Genomic DNA, 23,812 nt, shown 5'->3' on the forward strand with positions numbered 1-23,812 from the left:
CACCCCTTACCCCAACAAAATCTTTCCTCAGTTTAATCTCTCCCACTCTATGTTCCCATGCTGCCCCTAATCCCTCTCGAAGCAGCCCTGAGAAACATCGCCCATTATCTCTCCATACCACCCCCCAAAAATTTTCACCACCCCAACGCTTCACCACTATTTTGTTTTGTTTTTCTTATTAATATAAGAAGACAGGAATGTCAGGGCTCTGAGCCCAAGTTAAGCCATCATATCCCCTGTGACCTGCATGTATACATCCAGATGGCCTGAAACAACTGAAGATCCACAAAAGAAGTGAAAATAGCCTTAACTGATGACATTCCACCAATGTGATTTGTTCCTGCCCTACCCTAACTGATAGGATATATTCTCCCCTGCCCTTAAGATGGCACTTTGTAATATTCTTCCCATCCCCGCCCTTAAGAAGGTACTTTGTAATATTCTCTATGCCCTTAAGAATGTACTTTGTATGCCTATCCCAAACCTGTAAGAACTAATGATAATCCCACCACCCTTTGCTGACTCCTTTTTTGGACTCAGTCCGCCTGCACCCAGGTGAAATAAACAGCCTTGTGGCTCACACAAAGCCTGTTTGGTGGTCTCTTTACACGGACGTGTGTGACAGCCACCACTACAGAACTGCTAAAAGGAGCTCTACATCTTGAAACAAATTCTAGAAACACATCAAAACAGAACCTGTTTAAAGCATAAATCACACAGGACCTATGAAACAAAAATACAATTAAAAAAACATATATACGGGCAACAAAGAGCATGATGACTAGAATGGTACCTTACATCTCAATACTAACATTGAATGTAAATGGTCTAAATGCTCCACTTAAAAGATACAGAATTGCAGAATGGATAAGAATTCATCAACCCATTTGCTGCCTTCAAGAGACTCACGATTCACATAAACTTAAGGTAAAAGGGTAGAAAGAGACATTTCATGCAAATGGCACCAAAAACGAGCAGAAGTAGCTATTCTTATATCAGATAAAACAAACTTTAAAGCAACAGCAGTTAAAAAAGGCAAAGAGGGACATTATACAATGATAAAAGGCCTTGTCCAATAGGAAAATACCACAATCCTAAACATATATGCACCTAACACTGGAGCTCCAAAATTTATAAAACAATTACTAATAGATCTATGAAATGAGATAGACAGCAACACAATAATAGTGGGGGACTTCAATGCTCCACTAACAGCCCTACACAGGTCATCAAGACAGAAGGTCTACAAAGAAACAATGGATTTAAACTATACCCTGGAACAAATGGACTTAACAGATATATACAGAACATTTAATCCAACAACCACAGAATATACATTCTATTCAAAACCACGTAAATACATGGAAATTAATTAACTGCTCCTGAATGATCATTGGGTCAAAAAATGAAATCAAGATGGAAATTAAAAAATTCTTCGAACTGCAGACAATAGTGACACAACCTATCAAAACCTCTGGGACACAGCAAAGGCAGTACTAAGTGGAAAGTTCATAGCCCTAAACACCTACATCGGAAAGTCTGAAAGAGCACAAACAGACAATCTAAGGTCACACCTCAAGGAACTAGAAAAACAAGAACAAACCAAACCCAAAACCAGCAGAAGAAAGAAAATAACCAAGATCAGAACAGAACTAAATGAAATTGAAACAAACAAAAAAATACAAAAGATAAAGGAAACAAAAAGTTGGTTCCTTGAAAAGACAAATAAAATGCATAGACCATTAGCAAGATTAATCAAGAAATGAAGAGAGAAAATCCAAATAAGCTCAGTAAGAAACAAAATGGGAGACATTACAATTTAAAAATTACCAATAAAAAAAAAGTCCAGGACCAGACTGGGTGCGGTGGCTCACGCCTGTAATCCCAGCACTTTGGGATGCCAAGGTGGGTGAATCACGAGGTCAGGAGATCGAGACCATCCTGGCTAACACAATGAAACCCAGTCTCTACTAAAAATATAAAAAAATTAGCCAGGCATGGTGGCAGGCAAATGTAGTCCTAGCTACTCGGGAGACTGAGGCAGGAGAATGGCATGAACCCAGGAGGCAGAGCTTGCAGTGAGCCGAGATCGTGCCACTGCACTCCAGCCTGGGTGACAGAGCAAGAGTCCATCTCAAAAAAAAAAAAAAAAAGTCCGGGACCAGACAGATTCACAGCAGAATTCTACCAGATGTTCAAAGAAGAATTGGTACCAATCCTATTGACACTATTCCACAAGACAGAGAAAGAGGGAAGCCTCCCTAAATCATTCTATGAAGCCAGTATCACCCTATTACCACAACCAGGAAAGGACATAACCAAAAAAGAAAACTACAGAGAGATATCCTTGATGAACCTAGATGCTATAATCCTTAACAAAATACTAGCTAACTGAATCCAACAACATATCAAAAAGATAATCCACCATGATCAAGTGGGTTTCATACCACAGATGCAGGGATGGTTTAATATACACAAGTCAATAAATGTGATACACCACATAAACAGAATTAAAAACAAAAATCACATGATCATCTCAATAGATGCAGATAAAGCATTCAACAAAATCCAGCATCCCTCTATGATTAAAACTCTCAGCAAAATTGGCATACAACGGACATACCTCAATGTAATAAAAGCTATCTATGACAAACCCACAGCCAACATAATACTGAATGGGGCAAAGTTGAAAGCATTCCCTCTGAAAACTGGAACAAGACAAGCATGCCCACTCTTACTACTCCTCTTCAAATAGTACTGGAAGTCCCGGCCAGAGCAATCAAAGAGAAAGAAATAAAGGGCATCCAAATCAGTAAAGAGAAAGTCAAACCGTTGCTGTTTACTGATGATATAACTATTTACCTAGAAAACCCTAAAGACTCCTCCAGAAAGCTCCTAGAACTGATAAAAGAATTCAGCAGAAGTTTCCAGATACAAACTTAATATACATAAATCAGTAGCTCTTCTACATACCAACAGCCACCAAACTGAGAACCAGATCAAGAACTCAACCCCTTTTACAATAGCTGCCAAAAAAAAAACAAAACAAACAAACAAAAAAAACCACTTAGGAATATACCTAAACCAAGGAGGTGAAAGACCTATACAAGGAAAACTACACAACATTGCTGACAGAAATCACAGATTACACAAATGTAAACACATCCCACACTCATGGATGGGTAGAATCAATATTGTGAAAATGACCATACTGCCAAAAACAATCTACAAATTCAATGCAATACCCATCAAAATACCACCACCATTCTTCACAGAATTAGAAAAAAAAATTCACATGTAACCAAAAAACAGCCCGCATAACCAAAGCAAGACTAAGTTAAAAGAACAAATATGGAGGCATCACATTTCCTGATTTCAAACTATACTATAAGACCATAGTCACCAAAACAGCATGGTTACTGGTATAAAAATAGGCACACAGACCAATGGAAAAAAAAAGAGAATCCATAAACAAACCCAAATACTTACAGCCAACTAATCTTCGACAAAGCAAACAAAAACATAAAGTGGGGAAAGGATACCCTTTTCAACAAATGGTGCTGGGATAATTGGCCAGCCACATGTAGGAGAATGAAACAGGATCTTCATTTCTCACCTTATACAAAATTCAACTCAAGATGGATTAAGGACTTAAATCTAAGACCTGAAACTAAAAATTCTAGAAGATAACATTGGAAAAACCCTTCTAGACATTGGCTAAGGCCAGGATTTCATGACCAAGAACCCAAAAACAAATGAGATTAAAAACAAAGATAAACAGCTGGGACTTAATTAAACTAAAGAGTTTTTGCACAGCAAAAGGAACAGTCAGCAGAATAAAGAGACAACCTATAGAGTGGGAGAAAATCTTCACAATCTATACATCTGACAAAGGACTAATATCCAGAATCTACAACAGCAAGGAAAAAAAACAATCCCATCAAAAAGTGGGCTAAGGACGTGAATAGACAATTCTTTTTTTTTTTTTTTTTTTTTTTTGAGAAGGAGTCTTGTTCTGCTGCCAGGCTGGAGTGCAGTGGTGCGATCTCGGCTCACTGAAACCTCCGTCTCCCAGGTTCAAGTGATTCCCCTGCCTCAGCCTCCCGAGTAGCTGGGACTACAGGCGCACGCCACCACGCCCGGCTAATTTTTTGTGTTTTAGTAGAGATGGGGTTTCACCATGTTGGCCAGGACGGTCTCAATCTCCTGACCTTGTGATCCGCCTGCCTCAGCCTCCCAAAGTGCTGGGATTACAGGCATAAGCCACCACACCTGGCCATGAATAGACAATTCTTAAAAGAAGATGTACAAATGGCCAAAAAGCATATGAAAAACTCAACATCACTAATGATCAGGGAAATGCAAATCAAAACTACAATGCGATACCCCCAACTTAGTCCTGCCAGAATGGCCATAATCTAAACATCAAAAAATAGTAGATGTTGGCGTGGATGCTGTGAACAGGGAACACTTCTGTGCTGCTAGCAGGAATGTAAACTAGTACAACCACTACGGAAAACAGTATGAAGATTCCTTAAAGAACTAAAAGTAGAACCTCCATTTGATCCAGCAATCCCACTACTGGGTATCTACCCAGAGGAAAAGAAGTCATTATACAAAAAAGATACTTCCACACACGTTTATAGCAGCACAATTCACAACTGCAAAAAGTGGAACCAACCCAAATGCCCATCAATCAATGAGTGGATAAAGAAACTGTGGTGTATATATATATATGATGGGATACTGCTCAGCCATAAAAAGGAATGAATTAAAGGCATTCACAGTGACCTGGATGAGATTGGAGACTATTATTCTAAGTGAAGTAACTCAGGAATGGAAACCAAACATTGTATGTTCTCACTTGTAAGTGGGAGCTAAGCTATGAGGATGCAAAAGCATAAGAATGACACAATGGACTTTGAGGACTCGGGGGAAAGAGTGGGAAGCGGTGAGGGATAAAATTCAACTACAAATAGGACTACAAATAGGGTATAGTGTATACTGCTCGGGTGATGGCTTTACCAAAATCTCACAAATCACCGTTAAAGAACTTACTCCTGTAACCAAACACCATCTGTTGTTCCCCAATAACCTAGGGAAATAAAAAAATTAAAAATAAAAAATTAAAAAATGTTAAATGGGGAAAATATTTGAACGGGACAACTATAGTTTAAAAAAAGTCGGCTGGGCGCGGTGGCTCATGCCTATAATCTCAGCACTTTGTGGGGCCAAGGCAGGCGAATCACCTGAGGCAGGAGTTCAAGACCAGCCTGGCCAACATGGTGAAACCCTATCTCTACTAAAAATACAAAAATTAGACAGGTGTGGTGGCAGGCACCTGTAATCCCAGCTACTCAGGAGGCTGAGGCAGGAGAATTGCTTGAACACGGAGGCAGAGTTTGCAGTGAGCTGAAATCGCACCACTGCACTCCAGCCCGGGCAACAGAGCGAGACACTGTCAAAAAAAAAAAAAAAAAAAAAAGCCCCAAATCACTGGTATAAAATAATGGATTAATAGAATATGATTATCTCATTGGCCAGAGAAAACAATCTTACACTAGTAATGACAATTCTTGGCTAAAGTGCCATGTTGGTGGGAATAAAAATAACTATAGGCTTTTTGGAGATAATTTAAAGCTATGAGGTGCTGCTATGGTTTTATTAAGTTTTATGTTTTATATACTGTTTGACATGATTCCACTTACAGGAATTTATTCAATAAGAATACCTGCATATGTACACGAAGATCCACGTAACAAGTATGTTTATTTTAATAACGAAAAGGAAAAACTGTGCCAATAAAAACTAGGAAAAACAACCTAGTTGTTTATCAATAAAGTAGGTAAAGATGAAAGCAGACCCTGACATTACGGAGAAGGCCTAGCAGTATCAGCCAGGCCTTTGTTTTGTTACTAGCTAGCCTGGCACTAACAGGTGTTCTGTTGAACAGGAATAGTTTCACAAAACATACACATCAGATAAGGCCTCTGCATGACCGTGATGGAGCAGGACAAAAAAGCAGCACTTCACAGTAATATCTGAACACAGATAAAACATCAACACTGTCAAGGCTACAAATATGACCAGGCCAATATAAGCAGCTGCAGCTCCTTACTAATTATAGTGTGAGCCTCAGTCTAGTCTTCCCTCCTTCTAGGTAAGACTTATTAAGATACCCATTACATAAACAACCAATTTCCTGACAGTATTCAATCTAGAATAAAGCCTCACTTTCTTTAACCCTTCCTCCAAAATCACCCAACAGAAGCCAAACCTTCTAACAGCATCCTGTTCCTTTTACTGAACACTCTGTGGTTCCCATGGTATGTGTTCTCCCTTACTGCAAAAGTAACAAATCCAACTCATTCAACCACAGATGCGTGCCTGGTATCTTTGTCTGGAGAGCATTGGCAGGCAAATGGTTAACTATGGAGCATCCACCCTATAGAATACCAAATAATTGTTAAATATACTAAGGCGGATTAATAATACTGACATAAAATACTGATTTTTTAAAAAAAGATGCAGAATACATACAATATGAATCCATATATGCCAAAACAAATATCATGATACGACAGCACAAAGTATAGATAGACACATGCTGACCTGTTAAGAATGTTTACTATTAGGAAAATAAGACTGAAGTGTAGTGGTCGGGGAGATCAGGAGTATGAGAAAATTTTCCCCTTTTGCTTCAAATACATTACTATTTTAAGACTGAGCAACTTGTGTGTGATATACGTAATTTTAAAGGTATTAGTAAGATACAATGGGAGGCTTTCCTCAAAACAGTTATTTCAAAGTAAAGGTTTCTAGTTGTGTCTACTACATGGCCCCACACTGCATTTAATCTAATAAACCATTACTGGGAAGAACGTAGAGATAAACTTGTTAAATTACTATTCTTCATTTTATACACAATTATGAGCATTTTAAGCCATTTTCTTTAAAATACCTGGTTATACATGACGGAGGTTGCTAGAAGTCTAATTATCAATCAGATAAATGGGTACAATATCCAATAGAATGATTAAGATACTTGAGTATCTAAATGTGAAAACAAAATTAAATTAAAACACAAAAGGAAACACATAGTGGCTCTCTTACTTGCATTAATGACAGTTAAAGTGAAAGCAAACTAAATGTTTCTGATTGTTTAGATCTAATTTTCAAAGTACAGTTTAATTTTAAATGGACTATAAGCAATAAAATATCTTTTTCTCTAAATCCCAAAATATAGCATTTACTTATATCTGAATAACCTCTATTGACAATTTCACTACATGCCCTCATAACAACACTTTATATGCTAACTGACATCTATAATGTCCAGCTCTCACATAATCATTTTCTTTTTCCTCACAAAAAGAGTTAATGTAACTACGTTCAAGGGCTAACACTGAAAATCATTCTAAGGCAACATTACACAGCTGACTGCAGAAGGATTAAAATTTCATTGATGAACGGAATACTTACTGAATCAGTATAATGTATAAGAATTTTATTAAATAAGTGCTTTGACTTTTTGCCATGTCATGTATTTATCACCAAACTCTATGAAGTTAAAATTATTAACTACACTTAGAAGAGAGGTTCAAAAAGATTAAATAATTTGCCTGGAGCTCCACTGCTAGAAAATGACAGGGCCAAGACTCAAATCCTGATAAAACCCTACTCCAAAAGTTGGTTTTCTTTCCCCTACTCCACATTTGCTTGAGAAGAAACCACTTCTGAAGATTTTCTAAATAAATTAATACTTCAGATCTCAATACAATTTCTAGTATACCCATCCCCAACCCCCCAAATCAACCTTGAATGTAACTACTATATTCAGTTTTTCTTCAGGCCTCTACACAGTATTTTTAATGCAGATGCCTGGGTCAATATAGATGTAATATAAAAATTATAATGCCCATATATTATATATAAATGACACTGTAAATAAACAGTAAACAAGTAATACATAAACTATATATATTTATAAAAAACATCTTTAAACACATTTTGGGACCCTCTTAGTTGCAGCTATAAGTAGAGAATCTTTGAACTAACGAAGTAGTTTTCTAATAAATATAGATTTATAGAAAGGGCTACTCAAGTTTAAAAAAATAAGCAAGTGGGGATACCATTTACTAGTATTATTAGATACTATTTACTAGTATTATGAGACAATGATATTTAAAACTTTGCCGTTTTAAAAGGCAGTGATCTTTTTCTGGACAAAGTATTTTCATCATTAATAACCATTAACTTTATTTGGAAGAAAGAACATAAAAAGTTCCTTTTTCCTTTTCCCTTTTTTTTGTATTAAACGCACAGTTCTACGTATTTACCCCACTCTTTATTTTTTTCTTTCATCAGGCATTGCAGCTCAAAAAATGTTACTCCGAAATAATGCCACTTCAACATGAAGCAGCCTCAAGGTCTTTCTGGCCTCCCCTCCCTTCCTGTTTCTCCCAAGCACAGGATGAAGCTATTCTCTGAAGTTCCTTCATCTACCTATAAACTGGACCTGCCAAAGAGAAACACAATTGCTTTCCCTGAAATTTCATTAACCAGAGAAGATTAAAACTTCTATCACAGAGGAAGAGGCTGAAAATTAAACACCCCACCTACAGCCCAGATGAACTTAGTCACAAACCATTGTCTGCTCTCCATCCCATTCAATTTCCAAAGAAAAGTATTAACTAATCATTGTCTGAGCATCAGGCCCATTCATTCATTTCCCCCTAAAGATCATTTGCTATCCCGCATGTCCCCCATGTCCCCTACTGATCAAGCATAAGAAGGGTATGAATAAGGGTATATAAGCATCTGTACCCCACTGGGTTACTGGGTAGTCATTTTCCTGGATTCTGCCATGTACACATGTTAAAATATATTTATATGCCTTTTTCTCATGTTAATCTGCCGTTTGTCAACAGATTTTCAGCAAACCTTCTAAGAATAAAGGGGACACTTTGCCTTCGTCTCTACACAGGTAAGTAAGTGGTCCCCTAATAATTAACTCAACTGTGAAAACAAGCTGACATTCAGGCCTAGAGATGAACATACTGACATAAAACTGAGCTCCTCTAACAAATAGTTGTAACATGTCACTCCAAGATGCAACCTCACACATATATTCTTACAAATGAAATCCAGTAACTGCCCCTTAGACCTTTAAGTACAAATTAAAGAGGCACTATAAGATGACACTCTTTTAGTAACAGAAACAAATTAGCTTTTCAGGTAAATACAAAACAAATTATTACAGAAATAATTTCCTAAATATTAAGAAACGGAACACATTACTTTAAAATAAGCCATAATATATAAAATAAGGATGTATTAAAAAACCAAAGTTTAAACACATTTTTGCTTTCCCAAGGCATTTTCTACTTCCTTAGCACACTTCTTTCCGAGGGACATTTCCCTAAAATTAAGGACTGTAAACCTACAAGTTAAACTTTTTTGTAAGGAGAGTATTCTGTCTTTATAAACCAGTATGTAGACCTGCTGCCACCTGTTGGCTCCAGACAGTCTGAAGACCTAGCAACCTATGGCTTTCAAGTGTTGGGTCCCATAGCATTCACTTTTACTACAACAGTTCAGGTTTAACAAAGGTGGTCATTTGTACATCAGTCACAGAAAAGGAGCCTGTCTAGGATTTGTGCACGTGTGCCTTTGATGAAAACAAAAGAAAACAAAAAAAATTATTAAACAATAAAATGGATATTGGAAGAGCTGTTTTCTGCTATAAGCCAATAGTCTAGTTAGTGGTCAACATTCTCTACCTGCCTGCACCTGACAGAAACTCAGAGTAGGTTGATTTCATTTGTTGCTGATGAGAAAAATAATAAAAAATAAGTGTAGTATTCTTCTGTATCCCAGGTACAAAATTTCTTAATACCTGGTCATCCCTGGACCACAAGCAAAACCACCTGAGGTGCTTGATAAAATGCAGGTTCCCAGTCCATGACCAACCCTGACAATAATGAATCAGAATTTTGGGAAATGGTACCTTGAAATTAGTTTTTGTTTTGATCAATTACTCCACAATTATTCCAAGGTACAATATGGTCTGAGAACCAAAGAAAATTAAGCAGAAAACAAGCTTTAAGAACCTAAAACATGGTTCTTTAAAAATAAACTAATACCTTTCCTAAAGCTTGATTAGGTAAAAAGAGGAAAAATATAGAAAGGAAAGAGAAAAGACAACAATAATCTTAAGAGCATAACGCATGCAACTTTATAGCAGCATATTTGGAAACCTAAGAGGAAACTGATGGTTTCCTCTAATAAAAATACATATTACAAAATTACCCTAGAAACACACTTTGAATAAACCCATTACTGCACAAAAAACTGAACAGGTGATTAGAGAACTGGCACTGAAAATGATAATAGAGACCAGGAGCAGTTGCTCATGCCTGTAATCCTCCAGCACTTTGGGAGACTGAGGCAGGCGGATCTCTGGAGCCTAGGGGTTCAAAACCAGCCTGGGCAACATGGTGAAACTCTGTCTCTATTAACACATAATATCCGTCTCTATTAACAAGAAATAAGGAGAACTGGTAGAGCACTGTGGCATTCTGGAATAAATGAGTTTAAATCCAGACTCTTACAAACATCCTATGCCTCAGTTTCCTCAACTGTAAGATGTGGATAATAATAGTATCTGGTATATCAGGATAATATCAGGATATTATCCTATGAGAAAGGATCCACAGGATCCATTGTTCTGTGGATTAAACAGTTAGTACGTGTAAAGTGTTTAGAATTGTTCCTGATATGTAATAATCTCTATGCAATAAAAGTTACCTGACATTATGATTTATTCTTATCATACAGTTCTACTGCTCTCAAAGAAGGAATATGTGCAAAAAAAACTAGCCAGTGTTTGTCTCCCATAAAGTGATACCCCAAGGCATATGCCAGTAATATCTCTTTATATTTGCATAATGCCTTCCACTTTTCAAAGCATTTTCACACACCTTGCTTTAACGTCTAAAAAACCTTATCATTATTCTTATTTTCTATGAAACTGAAGCCAAGGATATATGGAGACTGCTGTACCCTTTTTGTCAGCTACATATTACCATGTAATAGTTACCTGTACACTCATATTAGCACCTAAAAAGTATAACATATAAGTTACCTGAACTTATATGTAGAAGTATAAGTACTTGAACATGTTAAAAATAATGGTAAAACAGTTTTTATTTTTGCACCAACCTATACATTAGTGTCCTACACAGAGCAGGTTTTCAATAAACACGTTAAAATGAACTCATTTGGTAAGTCTGTCTTAAATGTCTAGTTTCCTTTTGACCAACTACCCTACCTCCCTAACAACACGTATTAGAGCTACATTACATGTGCCACAAGATATCTATGGAAAAGTAAAATAGATTATGAATATGGATGGTACTACAAAAATTAACACTTTCAGATCTACCATAATGTCATCTGACTTCGAGTCAGAAAATTGGTAGAATAAATGTTATTGGCAAACTTTATGGTACAGCAAATGCTATCAACAAATGCCCTATTTGTTAACACAAAAAGGATTAAGGAAAAACTTTCATGCACATACACACAGAACTCTACATCAAAATCTATTTGATCATTAAAATTTATTTGATCAGAGAGATCAGAGCATAGCCACTCATAAAAATGCATGTCCTATCACTTTAGTTGGCTTATACACATTGGGCCTAGATAGTAATCCTTAGTAGAACATGGGGCTAGCAAGAAAAAGCAACTAATATCTAAGAGTAAGAGGCCAGATTGCATTCCTCTGATCCAACAAGAAACAATCAGAATTTTACACTATCTGTTTTAGGAGTCACCTGAAGGAAAATATTTATTACCAGGAAATGTCTAACTCCTTTCTGAACATTTTGAGATAAACACTGCATTGCCAATACAGAACTCATACCTACACTTGGATTAGAAATAACAGGAGGAAGACCCTATTCCAAAGCCAACTCCCAACAGTAATAATGAACTTTACACAGCTATTATCCATTCAACAAATATACTGATCAAGCCTTCTGCTGGGTGCTAGAACCCATGGCCTCGTCCAGTGGGTGGCAAACTATAGTCCACAGGCCAATTCCTGCCCATTTTATGTTTTTTTTTTTTTTTTTGAGACGGACTCTTGCTCTGTGGCCCAGGCTGGAGTGCAGTGGTGCGATCTTGGCTCACTGCAAGCTCTGCTCACTGCAAGCTCTGCCTCCCAGGTTCACGCCATTCTCCTGCCTCAGCCTCCTGAGTAGCTGGGACTACAGGGACCTGCCACCACGCCTGGCTAATTTTTTGTATTTTTAGTAGAGACAGGGTTTCATCGTGTCAGCCAGGATGGTCTCGATCTCCTAACCTCATGATCCGCCCGCCTCTGCCTCCCAAAGTGCTGGGATTACAGGCGTGAGCCACCGCGCTCGGCCCATTTTATGTTTTTGTAAATAAAGGTTAATTGGAACACGGCCACACTCACTTGCTTATAAACTGTCTATGGCTGATTTCACACTACAACAGCAAAAGCGAGCAACAAGAGACTATCTGGCCCACAAAGCCTAAATTAGCTGGCCTTGTGCAGAAAAGCGTATCAACCTCTAGAATAGAAGAAATTCACAGCACATGTAGATTTGAGAGCCAATGGTGTGAATATTCCTAGGGGAACAGAGGTAAGATGTCAAGGCAAGCTTGCTAGATGACAAAATGGTTACCTAGGACTTAAGTAAAGATTGCAAAGCAGACTGACACTGAATTAAAAGTATGCTCCAGGTAGTTAATCAATGAGAAAAGGACCAGAAGAAATAGGATACAGCACATGTCTCAGGAACTGCAAGAGTTTAGTATGGCTAGAATGTAGTATACAAAGTGCTGTAAGACAAGGTTGGAGAAAACTCGGCATATAAACGTATATGCAAAGATGAAAAGTTTATTTTAAGAATATATATCATTTCATCAGGGAGCCTGCCCCAATATTCACCTAGGTTCTTTTCTATTTTCCCTAAGCATCGGCCAGCTTGAGAAATTAAGGGACAGAGTACAAAAGAGAGAAATTTTAAAGCCGGGCATCCGGGGGAGACATCACATGTCAGTAGGTTCCATGATGCCCCACTAGCCGCAAAAACCAGCAAGTTTTTATTAGGGATTTTCAAAAGGGGAGGGAGTGTGCGAATAGGTGTGGGTCACAGACATCAAGTAGTTTACAAGGTAATAGAATATCACAAGGCAAGTAGAGGCAGGGCGAGATCACAAAACCACAGGACTGGGGCGAAATTAAAATTGCTAATGAAGTTTCAGGCACCATTGTCATTGATAACATCTTATCAGGAGACAGGGTTTTGAGATCAACCGGTCTGACCAAAATTTATTAGGCAGGAATTTCCTCTTCCTAATAAGCCTGGGAGCACTATGGGAGACTGGAATCTATTTCACCTCTGCAGTCTCGACCATAAGAGACGACCATGCCCAGGGGGGCCAGTTCAGAGACCCACCCCCAGGTGCACATTCTCTTTCTCAGGGATGTTCCATGCTGAGAAAAAGAATTCAGCGATATTTCTCCCATTTGCTTTTGAAAGAAGAGAAATATGGCTCTGTTCCGCCCAGCTCACCTGCGGTCAGAGTTTAAGGTTATCTCTCTTACTCCCTGAACAATTGCTGTTATCCTGTTCTTTTTTCAAGGTGCCCACATTTCATATTGCTCAAACACACATGCTGTACAATTTGTGCAGTTAATGCAATTATTACAGGGTCCTGAGGCGATAGACATCCTCCTCAGCTGACAGGATTAAGAGATTAAAGAAAAGACAAGCATAGGAAATCACAAGGGTACTGATTGGGGAAGTGATAAGTGTCCATGAAATCTTTACAATTTATGTTTAAGAGATTGCAGTAAAGACAGGCATAAGAAATTACAAAAGTATTAATTTGGGGAGCTAATATATGTCCATGAAATCTTCACAATCTACGTTCTTCTGCCATGGCTTCAGCTGGTCCCTCCATTTGGGGTCCCTGACTTCCCGCAACATCATTTTGTGTTTATACTTGCAAAAAACAACAACAAATAACCTACCACATCTGGAAAGACACACAAAACCAATAAAGACATTGCAGGGGAAATAATGGATACTGGAGATAGGATAGATAAAAGATGGGATCAAGGAGGCTTCACTAAATACCTTTTATAACTTTTTTGGTTTTTAAATTACATGAACACATTGCCTATTTTTAAATTACATATTAAAAACATGGATTTTGCCATGAAGGAAATATTAAAAGAATTTTAGCAAGTGATAATATTAAACACGCAAATCAGACAGACTACTCTGTAGATGCAATGCGCAGGAGGGCTAGAAGGAATAGAGTACTTAGGAAGCTATTAACAGATTATTGGCTGTTTGAAGCAAATATATTAACAATGTATTGTGGAGTTTCCAGCATATGAAGGTGAAAAACATATGATAAAATTAGCTCAAACAATGAGAGGGTAAGTGAAAGGAATTATATTGTTGTAAAGTTTTCACATTGTTTTTAAAGTAAAATAATATTAATTAGAGGCAGACTGTGGTAAGTCAAGGAAAACACTATAACCTCTGTATCAACCATTTAAAAAATAATAATACAAACAGGTTTAAATAAAAAGCCAAAAGAGGAAATTAAATCGAGTTCTAAGGACATTTTTTTTAAAAAGAAAAACTGTGATTAATTCCTCCTGCAAAAAAGTAGGAACAAAGACACCAAGGAACAAAGAACAAACAGGGCATAATGAGAAGAGCAAGATGGTAATATTAGCCCAAGAATATTGGGAACTAGATTAAATTAAGTATAAATGTAAGCCCTCCAATTAAGAGAAAGACTGTCATATGGAAAAAACAAGAGCCAACTATATGCTCTTTATGACACATACTTTAAAAACAAGAACACTGATAAATAGAAAAAGCATATAAGAAGAAAAATACTAATTTACAAAAATCCAGAAATAACTGTATTAATACCAAAGAAGATTTCAAGACAAAAAATATTCACAGAACCTAGAGATAAAGAGACATTTTAAAATGCTAAAAGAATCAATTCAGTATAAATAAAACAATCCTAAATGTTTGTACCAATTAACATAGTTAAAAATACATAAAGTAAAAACTAAAACAAAAGCAAATTCATCATTATAGTTGGGGACAACACCTCACATAGGAAAAGCAGACATGAACAGTTACATCAGTATTAATAATATATAAAATCCATGAGAGTTGCTGCCCAATGGTGAGAGTGGAGGTGAGTAAGTGTAAATAACAGGATCAAAGAGAAAAATTAAAATTGAAATAAGAAATGGAGTATTACGTAGATAGGATTCCATATACTACAGGTATGTGCACCTCACTTCTCTGGATATTAGATTCAAAAGGGAAACTTAATTATCAAATTTGCTTGATATTACATACATATATTAATTATTACATACATGTTTCTCTTACCAGCATTACTGTTAAATTCATAATTCTTCCAAGGGTATCAATATAGTAGACACTGTCTTGATACCATGAATCACAGTGCAGGTAATTATACATTCCAAAAGCATGCATGTGTTCCAGTGTATATTGATCATCTCGAAGTTTTACCTCTGCCACAGCTGAAATACAAGAAAAGCAAACATAAACATCAAGAGTTTTGCCTCAGATAGTTTCTATCTGTAGAATGCCTACAAGGCAAAAAAAAAAATCACAGAATGCCAATCACAAAGGCCTTCAGGACAATTCAGTATATCATTCTTTCAAAGATAATTTCTGGGTACTGTGTACAGAGGATAAACAGTAAGTAAAACTGATATGGTCCCACGTCCTTACAAGACTTAGAATACAGCGGCCACAGGAGATAGGGCTTTTTATGTCATGACCCTCTTTTAGGCACCTCTAATAATTATGAATAAAAATAACAGAAATTCTAAAATTGAAGAATCTACCATTTCCAGGAAAATGTTAAGCCCAATTTATGAAGTGTTTATATACTTTAAAAATGTTTTAATATACTATTATCTCATTCATTTTAATACACATTAAGAAATTAACTTTTAAAATCTCATTATACAGTTATATAAATAAATGTATACACAAATAATGACTTCTCCAATGTTATACTACATCTTTTCCAAGGGTACAGAGCAAAACAGTATCACAGCTGGACTAGAAACAAGATCTCCTACTTACAGAACAGAGATTTCTTCACTTAAGCATTAGCTGCTTCCCTAGGTTTAAATCTAGCAAATGTGATCTCTTCCTCCCACTCCTCCTGCCCTTTCATGAAGATGGAAACTTTCATGGCTCAGAACTGCTCATGATCTGGAATTAATTTCTGCCCCAGCAGGAAACATATAAATGGATTATGCTGGGCCAATATCCTACCCTAATATAAAACTCACTTTACTGTATTCTGATGGCAACTGTTTTCTTCCTCCCCCAAATGCTCACCTGTTCCCACTTCCAATACCTGCTTTGAGTCCTGTCTGACTTATATTCATTTATACAGAAACTAATATAAATTTAAAAATAAATAAATAAAATTTCAATAGGCATCGATGACACAGTGATGAGCCAAGAATGGAATCTTGCCAATTAGCACTTATGATACAGTGAGGAAATGGGCATTAGTCAAATAATCATATAAATCTTAAATAATTTTTATGAAATAAATTTTATATAATTAAATTGTGATAAAGAATAATCACTGGGTACCATGAGAACACATAATGTAAGAGTTCTATTTGGGGAGATTAACAAAAGCTTTCCAAGGTTTGAGCCACGACATAAAAGATAAGAAAGAATTAACTTAAGAAAAAGTATTTTAACAAGAAGGTGAAAGACTTCTACAAGAAAACTACAAAACATTAATGAAAGAAATTGAAGAGGACACAAATAGACATCTCATGCTCATGGATCAGAAATAAATCCATGTACATGTAGCCAACTGATTTTTGACAAAGGTGCAAAGAACATACACTGGGAAAAGGATACCTTCCTCAATAAATGGTGTGAAAATTGGATATCCATAGCAGAAAAATAAAATTAGACTCCTATCTCTCATCATATGCAAAAATCAACTCAAAAACTATAAAAATACCAAAAAGGAAACAGAGAAGAAATGCTTCAGGATATAGGTCTATGCAAAGATTTTATGGTTAAGACCTCAAAAGCATAGGCAAGAAAAACAAAAAGACAAATGGGATTATATTTAACTAAACAACAACAACAACAAAAATACCTTCTGCAGAGCAAAAGAAACAAACAACCTAGTGAAGAGACAACCTATAGAATGGGAGAAAATATTTGCAAACTATTCAATCGTAAGGAATGAAAATTTTTTTTGCTGTTGAAGCAAAAAAAAAAAAGTCCCATTATAAAGAGGGCAAAGATCTTAATAGACATTTCTCAAAAGAATATATAAATAAATAGCCAACAGTTACATGAAAAAATGCTCAACATCACTAATTATTGAGGAAATGCAAATTGAAATCACAATGAGATATCATCTTCCTGTAGTTAGAATGGCTATTTTCAAAAAAATACAAAAAAAAAAAATAACAAATGCTGGCAAGGATGTGGAGAAAAGGGAACATATAATCTGTCAGTGGGAATGTAAATTAGTATAGCCATTATGGAAAATAGTAAAGAGGTTTCTCAAAAAACTAAAACTATAACTACTATACCACAATAGGCACTCCCACAAATGAATATTTATCAAAACAAAAGAAAGTCAGTATATCAAAAGGAATACCGTCACTTCCATGATTATTTCAGCACTATTTACAAAAGCCAAGACATGGGGGAAACCTAAGTGGCCAAAGGATGAACAGATAAAGAAAATGTAGTATATACACACACTGAAATACTATTCAGCCATAAAAAAGAACGAAATTCTATCATTTGCAGCAACATAGATGGAACTGGAGGTCATTAAGTGAAATAAACCAGGCACAAGGCCGGGCGCCGAGGCTCAGGCCTGTAATCCCAGCACTTTGGGAGGCCAAGGCGGGCGGATCACGAGGTCAGGAGATTGAGACCATCCTGGCCAACATGATGAAACCCCGTCTCTACTAAAAATTCAAAAAACAAATTAGCTGGGTGTGACAGTGCGTGCCTGTAATTCCAACTACTGGGGAGGCTGAGGCACGAGAATCGCTTGAACCCAGGAGGCAGAGGTTGCAGTGAGCCGAGATCGCTCCACTGCACTCCAGCCTGGGACAGAGTGAGACTTCATCTCAAAAATAAATAAATAAAATAAACCAGGTACAGAAAGACATCATACACGCAGCTAAAAAAGTGGATTTCATGGAGGGAGAGAGTAGAAAGATAGTTATCAGAGGCTGGGAAAGATGGGGGTGGGGGATGAAGGGAGGTTGCTTAATGGGTACAAACATACAATTAAAAGGATTAAGTTCTCATGTTTGATAGCACAGTTGGGTGACTACAGTTAACAACAATATATTGTGTATTTCAAAACAGCGAGTACCAAAATAGCTAGAAGATTTCAAATGTTCCCAACACAAAGAAATGGTAAATACTGAAGTTGATGAACACCCTAAATACTGATTTGATCATTACACACCGTATGCATGCATCAAAATATAACATAAAATCCCAGTTTATCAATTTAACATATTTTTAAAATAAAAAATACACCTATATACATGCATACCCACTCCTCTACTTTTCCAGACAGAAGGAAAATCTGTAAAAAGTAGGAAGAAAAACTTGTGTTCAAAGAACACAAAGAAGGCCACACTGTTCAAAGAAGGCCACACTGGCCGAAATGCAGAGCAACAAGGGGACTTGTACAGGAAAGGTTGCAATAAATGAAAACTCAGCAAGAACTGGATTATGAATGGACTGTATTTATTTTTGTTGACAAATTCAATTTAAAAGAATTCATTAACAGTTTTTAAGCAGGAGAGTAAAGTTCAGATTTGAGTTTATAAAAGAGTACTTATAACTACAATATGGAAAACAAATTGGAATAAAGCAGGGTAAATCCAGGAAGATCCATTAGAAAGCTATTGCAATCATCTGGTTGAGAGATAATGGAAACATCTCACAGGTAAAAATCCAATTATGATAGATTTGATAGAGGTTGAGGAAACATATAACACCACTTATTTTATAAGCAACAGTTAGAAATATGTATTCTTGGTTTTCTAGCACCACTGTGTGGATGAAACTCGATACTGCAGGAAAACTGCATGGTAACATAAGGGCCTGAAGCAGTAATATTAGACAACGATATAACAAATACATTTTCTTCATATCTGTGCAAAGACCTCTGGGCAATCCTGAACAAACTGGAGGCTTCTTAGACATCAGTCTTATTACAACACTTCATGATTGTTTCATTCCAACAAAATAATTTATATAAGTTATTAAGACACAGATGTGAGTCTAGGCCATATTACATGCTATTTTGTAAAATCTCTATTAACGCATAGAAAAAGGACACCTCTCTGGCCTCAAATGAGAAAGGAAAAGTTATCACATGATGATGACCATGTCAATTATCTTGATTATAAAAGTGGGAGGCAGAGCAACTGAAAGTAGAAAAGCAGTGTCCAGAATGTGACAGTTCTTAGCTACTGGCAGAGCTCTTTTGCAGAGTTCTCCCAAAAAAAGAAGTAGGGGGCAGCGAGGCTTCAATCTCTGCATAGATCTTTGTAAGGGTTGAAGAAGAAGAACTTTTTACAGAGAAGCCAGTGTAGTAAATATTTTATTATTTAATGATACCTTGCATTGAAAATAAAAGAGCTTTGCTGAAAAATCTGATAAGGATTAGTCTTCTAAAAAGAACTTAGGGCCTCAAAAGAAGAGTCTCCCTTAACATTTGCCCAAATACTTACCGAACCTCAAAACCTAGTTTTTCACACATGAAAACCACAAAAGCCTCATGGGACCTCAAAGGGCTATAGTTTTTCATTCATAAATTATTTATTGAATATCTACTATATGTACCAGACATTGTGGTTGGCATTGGGCACAAACAGTGAATAAAACAGACCTGTCTCCTGCACTAATAGTGCTAACGATGATATTCATTACTGTTTCTTGGCTTCTCAAAATACACTATTACTTGAACCACATGATATTGCCAATATTTAACTCTTTGACACCAATTAAATATGATGCAGTCTAATATTTACATAAGCAAAGTATAATAATCTTTAAAGAGGGGGAAGAGAGAGGCCAAGAACGTTAACTTACAAAGGTCACTTCATGGACCACTTAGCTTCTAGAATCAACCCAATAAGCCTTCTTTTCACCTAGTTACTGAGCTTGCTATTTATCTATGAAGGTGTAAAAAAGTAAAAGTACAAGTCCACAAATTCTAAAGCGAGACTTAAAGAACACGGGAGGACCAGAGTTAAGAGCACTGCTCCCATAAAATTATTTTATGCAATACTTCTCTGACCTCAACACATTCATGTGGGTATTTTCCCCATCTTTTCCTCCATAAGGGTAGAGATGAGTTTTATAGTCAACTCTACATAAATACAATGGTTACGTGGCTTTTCCCTCCCTTTACTCTAACTGTAGTGTAAATCTTCACCAGCTTTTCTTCCCTCTGCTCTGAAGAAAGAAAAAGGCCAGAGTGACCACAAAGATCATTAGGAAAAGCATGAGCTTTAGGGTCAGCTTTGCCACTGATGAATAACTTGGTTAAGTTAGCTCATCTTATTGCCCATTTCCTCATCTATAATAAAGGTTAGTAATACTAATTGTACCAAAACATTGACAAGCTTCAGTCGAAATATGCAATGTATTTACTATCAATGCATGGCACATAAGATTAAGCATTGATTTCCCTGTTCCTTTTCTCCCATTCAAGGCTAATTCCCACACAGGTGTTTATGATTCAATTTTCTCCTGCCAGAAGTTATCTCCTGTCCACTGGTGTTTCTCCTCCACTTACATATGCTGAAACTTCCCCACTCGCAAAATAAACAAATAAAAAAGGCTTCCTTTTCTCTGCCTGGCCGCTAAAGCAGAGCTCTCCCCTACCTTGTTCTTCTCAAACTTCTTTAAAAAGCTGTTTATACATCCATTTTCTCACTATACTCATTAGCCCTTTTCAATTGTTTCTAGCTCTATTATTCTACAGAAAATATTTTTTCACTTAAAAATATACATTGAATAACTTTTGTTTGCAGCCAACATGGAAGAATAGGAACCAGATTTATCTTTCCACCAGAAACATCCAATAAGATGAAACAAACCAGAGAAAGTTAAATGAAACAACAGTTTTCAAGACATCAGACATAAAACAACAAAGGACACTTATGAGATTAGCCCCACCACCAATCTAGTTTACTGCCTTGAGGAGTTTCCAGACCACAGCACAAAGAAGGGAAAGTGAGGTATAGTCAACTCTACATAAATACAACGGTTACATGGCTTTTCCCTCCCTTTAACTGTAGTGTAAATCTTCACCAGCTTTTCTTCCCCCTTCTCTGAAGAAAGAAAAAGGCCAGAGTACTTGTATGCAGAGTTGACTTCAACCTCCTTGAGTTGAAGAAACTAGGCTACTACTCTGTCATTAGACAGAGTAGCAGAGAAAAGAGAGATGCAGAGAGAAGCCCAGAGATCTGAGAGTCTGCCTCAAGTACTCAAGAGTACTAATGGCATGTGTTTGAGGAGATTACCCCAGGCTACAGAAAGAACCATCTGAAAGGGTTGAAGAGAAATCCTGGGCACTCACATAAGGCTAGGAACCATAACTGCTCCCAATAAGCAGAATGGAGAAAACCCTTAATTTGTGGGATACTGGGTAGTGTACACAGGAAAGTCTTGCCTCGGTAGTGGGAAATAACCCTAGACTGAGCACTGCTCCTGATCGGACTAACAAATCATAAAAGCAAGAACCAATGGAATTAATCTGTTTCCAAGTAACTCAACTATATCCCGGAAAAAAAACTCAAGAACATTATAAAAATACAAAAATAACCTGCACCTAACAAGGTAAAATTCACAATGTCTGGCATCCAATCAAAGATTACCACATATGCAAAGAGGAAAGAAAACAAAATCCATAATGAAGAGAATTACCAATCAATAGAAGCCAATATAAAACTGACATGGAAGCTACAATTCACAGAACAAGATGTAAAAACAATTATTGCTACATGTACTCCATGTATGTTCAACATAAGTAAGTAGAAGCAAGAAAGATGCAAAAGATTTAAATCAAACTTCTAGATGTGAATATTACAATGTCCAAGATGAAAAATACACCAGATGGGATTAACAAGAGACTAATATTACAAAAAAAAAAAGTAAACGGAACTAAAGGCATGAAAATGGAAACTATTGGCAATAAAACAGAAAAAAGTATGAAGAAAAAATGAAACGGGCATTCATGAGCTGAGACCAACTTCTGTGATCTAAAAATGTGTAACTGGAGTCTTCAAAGGAGAAAAGGAGGGGAAAAAGTTGGAAGAAATAATAGCCAAAATATTGCCATTGATCTTGATAAAAACTATATGTCCGCAGTTTATAGCCCAACAAACCCCAAACATAAGAATCATAAAGAAAACCACAGCTGGCCACAATATTATCAAACTGCTCAAAACCAATGTAAAAGAGAAAAATCTTAAAACAGAAGAAAAAAGGCATGTTATGTATAGAGCAACAAAGATAGGATAATGTGAGATTTCTCATCAGAAACAATATAAGCAAGACTGAGGCTATAACTTTAAAGCATTGAAAGAAAAAACTGTCAACCTAGAATGCAGAAGGAGCAGAGAGATGGTTACAGAAGGGTACAAGGAAACTTTGGGAATGATAGCTAAGTTTAGTATCTTGATTGTGGTGATGATTTCACGGGTGTATACATATATCACAACTTCTTAAGTTGTACATTTTAAATTTGTAGTTTATTGTCAATTATGTCTTCATAAAGCTGTTTAATTTGTGAGACAAATTTATGTCCTACTTACCAGGCATGCTCCAACCCTGGAGATAAAGCATTGAAAACGATGGACATGGGACCCTTCAATACAAAATCAATAATCTTAGCAAAGAAAACATACTGGATGCTACGAAGTATGATAAAGTCTATGAAGTACTGGTTACTATGGCAACGCATAATACAGATTCTATAGTGTAGATTCTGACTAGTCAAGAAAGGAATCCCTGAGGAAGTAACATGTAAGCCAACATGAAAGAATGAAGTATGAATTAGCTAGGTGAAATATAGCTGGGAAACATATAAAAACATATAAAAAGACTTGTACTAAATGAAGATTCTAGGAAAAGGATATTTATAAATGCCTAGGAAGGAAATTGCCGGATCAAAAGACAATTACAATTTGATTAAAAATAAGTTTTTTGTTTCGTTCTTTGGAATAGAAAAAGACAAAGTGACATTTACTGCTTATGTAGCAAAGGAAATTTTGGTACAACTTAATAACATTATTTAAGACAAGAGAATAAGCCTCATTGCATCAAGTTCTTGACACCAGAGACCACATCATCTTTACATCTTAAATGCAGTGTTTCAGGTAGCCAAGGTGCCCATCAAAGGTTTGTGGAACTAAAGTGAACTCCTTCAGTTAGAATAAAAGAAATCAAATTACCAGAAGCGCCTCAATTATGCTTCACTATCTCTAGAAATGATAGTTTTTAAACAAAATAATCTTTTTCATCATCCTCAAGTAATTCCTAATGAAAAACTCATCATGTGAACTATTGCAAAAGCCTCCTATCTGCTGTGTGCAGTCATCTCATCTTCCAAACTCAACCTCCACAGAGTCTGAGGTAAGCTTTTCAACTCCCGTATC

General features: G+C 36.5%; 1 protein-coding gene across 3 annotated transcripts in view, besides 1 other annotated feature; it reads right to left on the reverse strand.

Moving 5' to 3' along the window:
* The window catches only part of NUDCD1 (NudC domain containing 1), a 93,169-nt gene that overhangs the window by 65,917 nt on the left and 3,440 nt on the right, over positions 1–23,812 (reverse strand). The window contains exons 1-2 of one of the 3 annotated variants that reach the window (NM_001128211.2): positions 22,970–23,099; positions 15,474–15,628 (exon numbers count right to left, since the gene is read on the reverse strand). In NM_001128211.2, coding sequence (NP_001121683.1) covers positions 15,474–15,628; positions 22,970–23,000 — 186 coding nt within the window. In that variant the 5' untranslated portion in view covers positions 23,001–23,099. Of the gene's footprint in view, positions 1–6,961; positions 7,054–15,473; positions 15,629–22,969; positions 23,100–23,812 lie in introns of those variants that run through there. The other 2 variants (XM_047422330.1, NM_032869.4) reach the window with 2 other exon arrangements.
* Positions 13,042–13,689: an enhancer, noted in NCBI's record as "OCT4-NANOG hESC enhancer chr8:110332106-110332753 (GRCh37/hg19 assembly coordinates)". NCBI's record gives its function as "activates a minimal SCP1, AML or CMV promoter by ChIP-STARR-seq in primed H9 embryonic stem cells {active_cell/tissue: H9 hESC(primed)}" and the evidence as "EXISTENCE:reporter gene assay evidence [ECO:0000049][PMID:30033119]".

The sequence above is a fragment of the Homo sapiens genome, chromosome 8 (assembly GCF_000001405.40).
Source record: "Homo sapiens chromosome 8, GRCh38.p14 Primary Assembly".
NCBI classification, from domain to species: domain Eukaryota; kingdom Metazoa; phylum Chordata; class Mammalia; order Primates; family Hominidae; genus Homo; species Homo sapiens.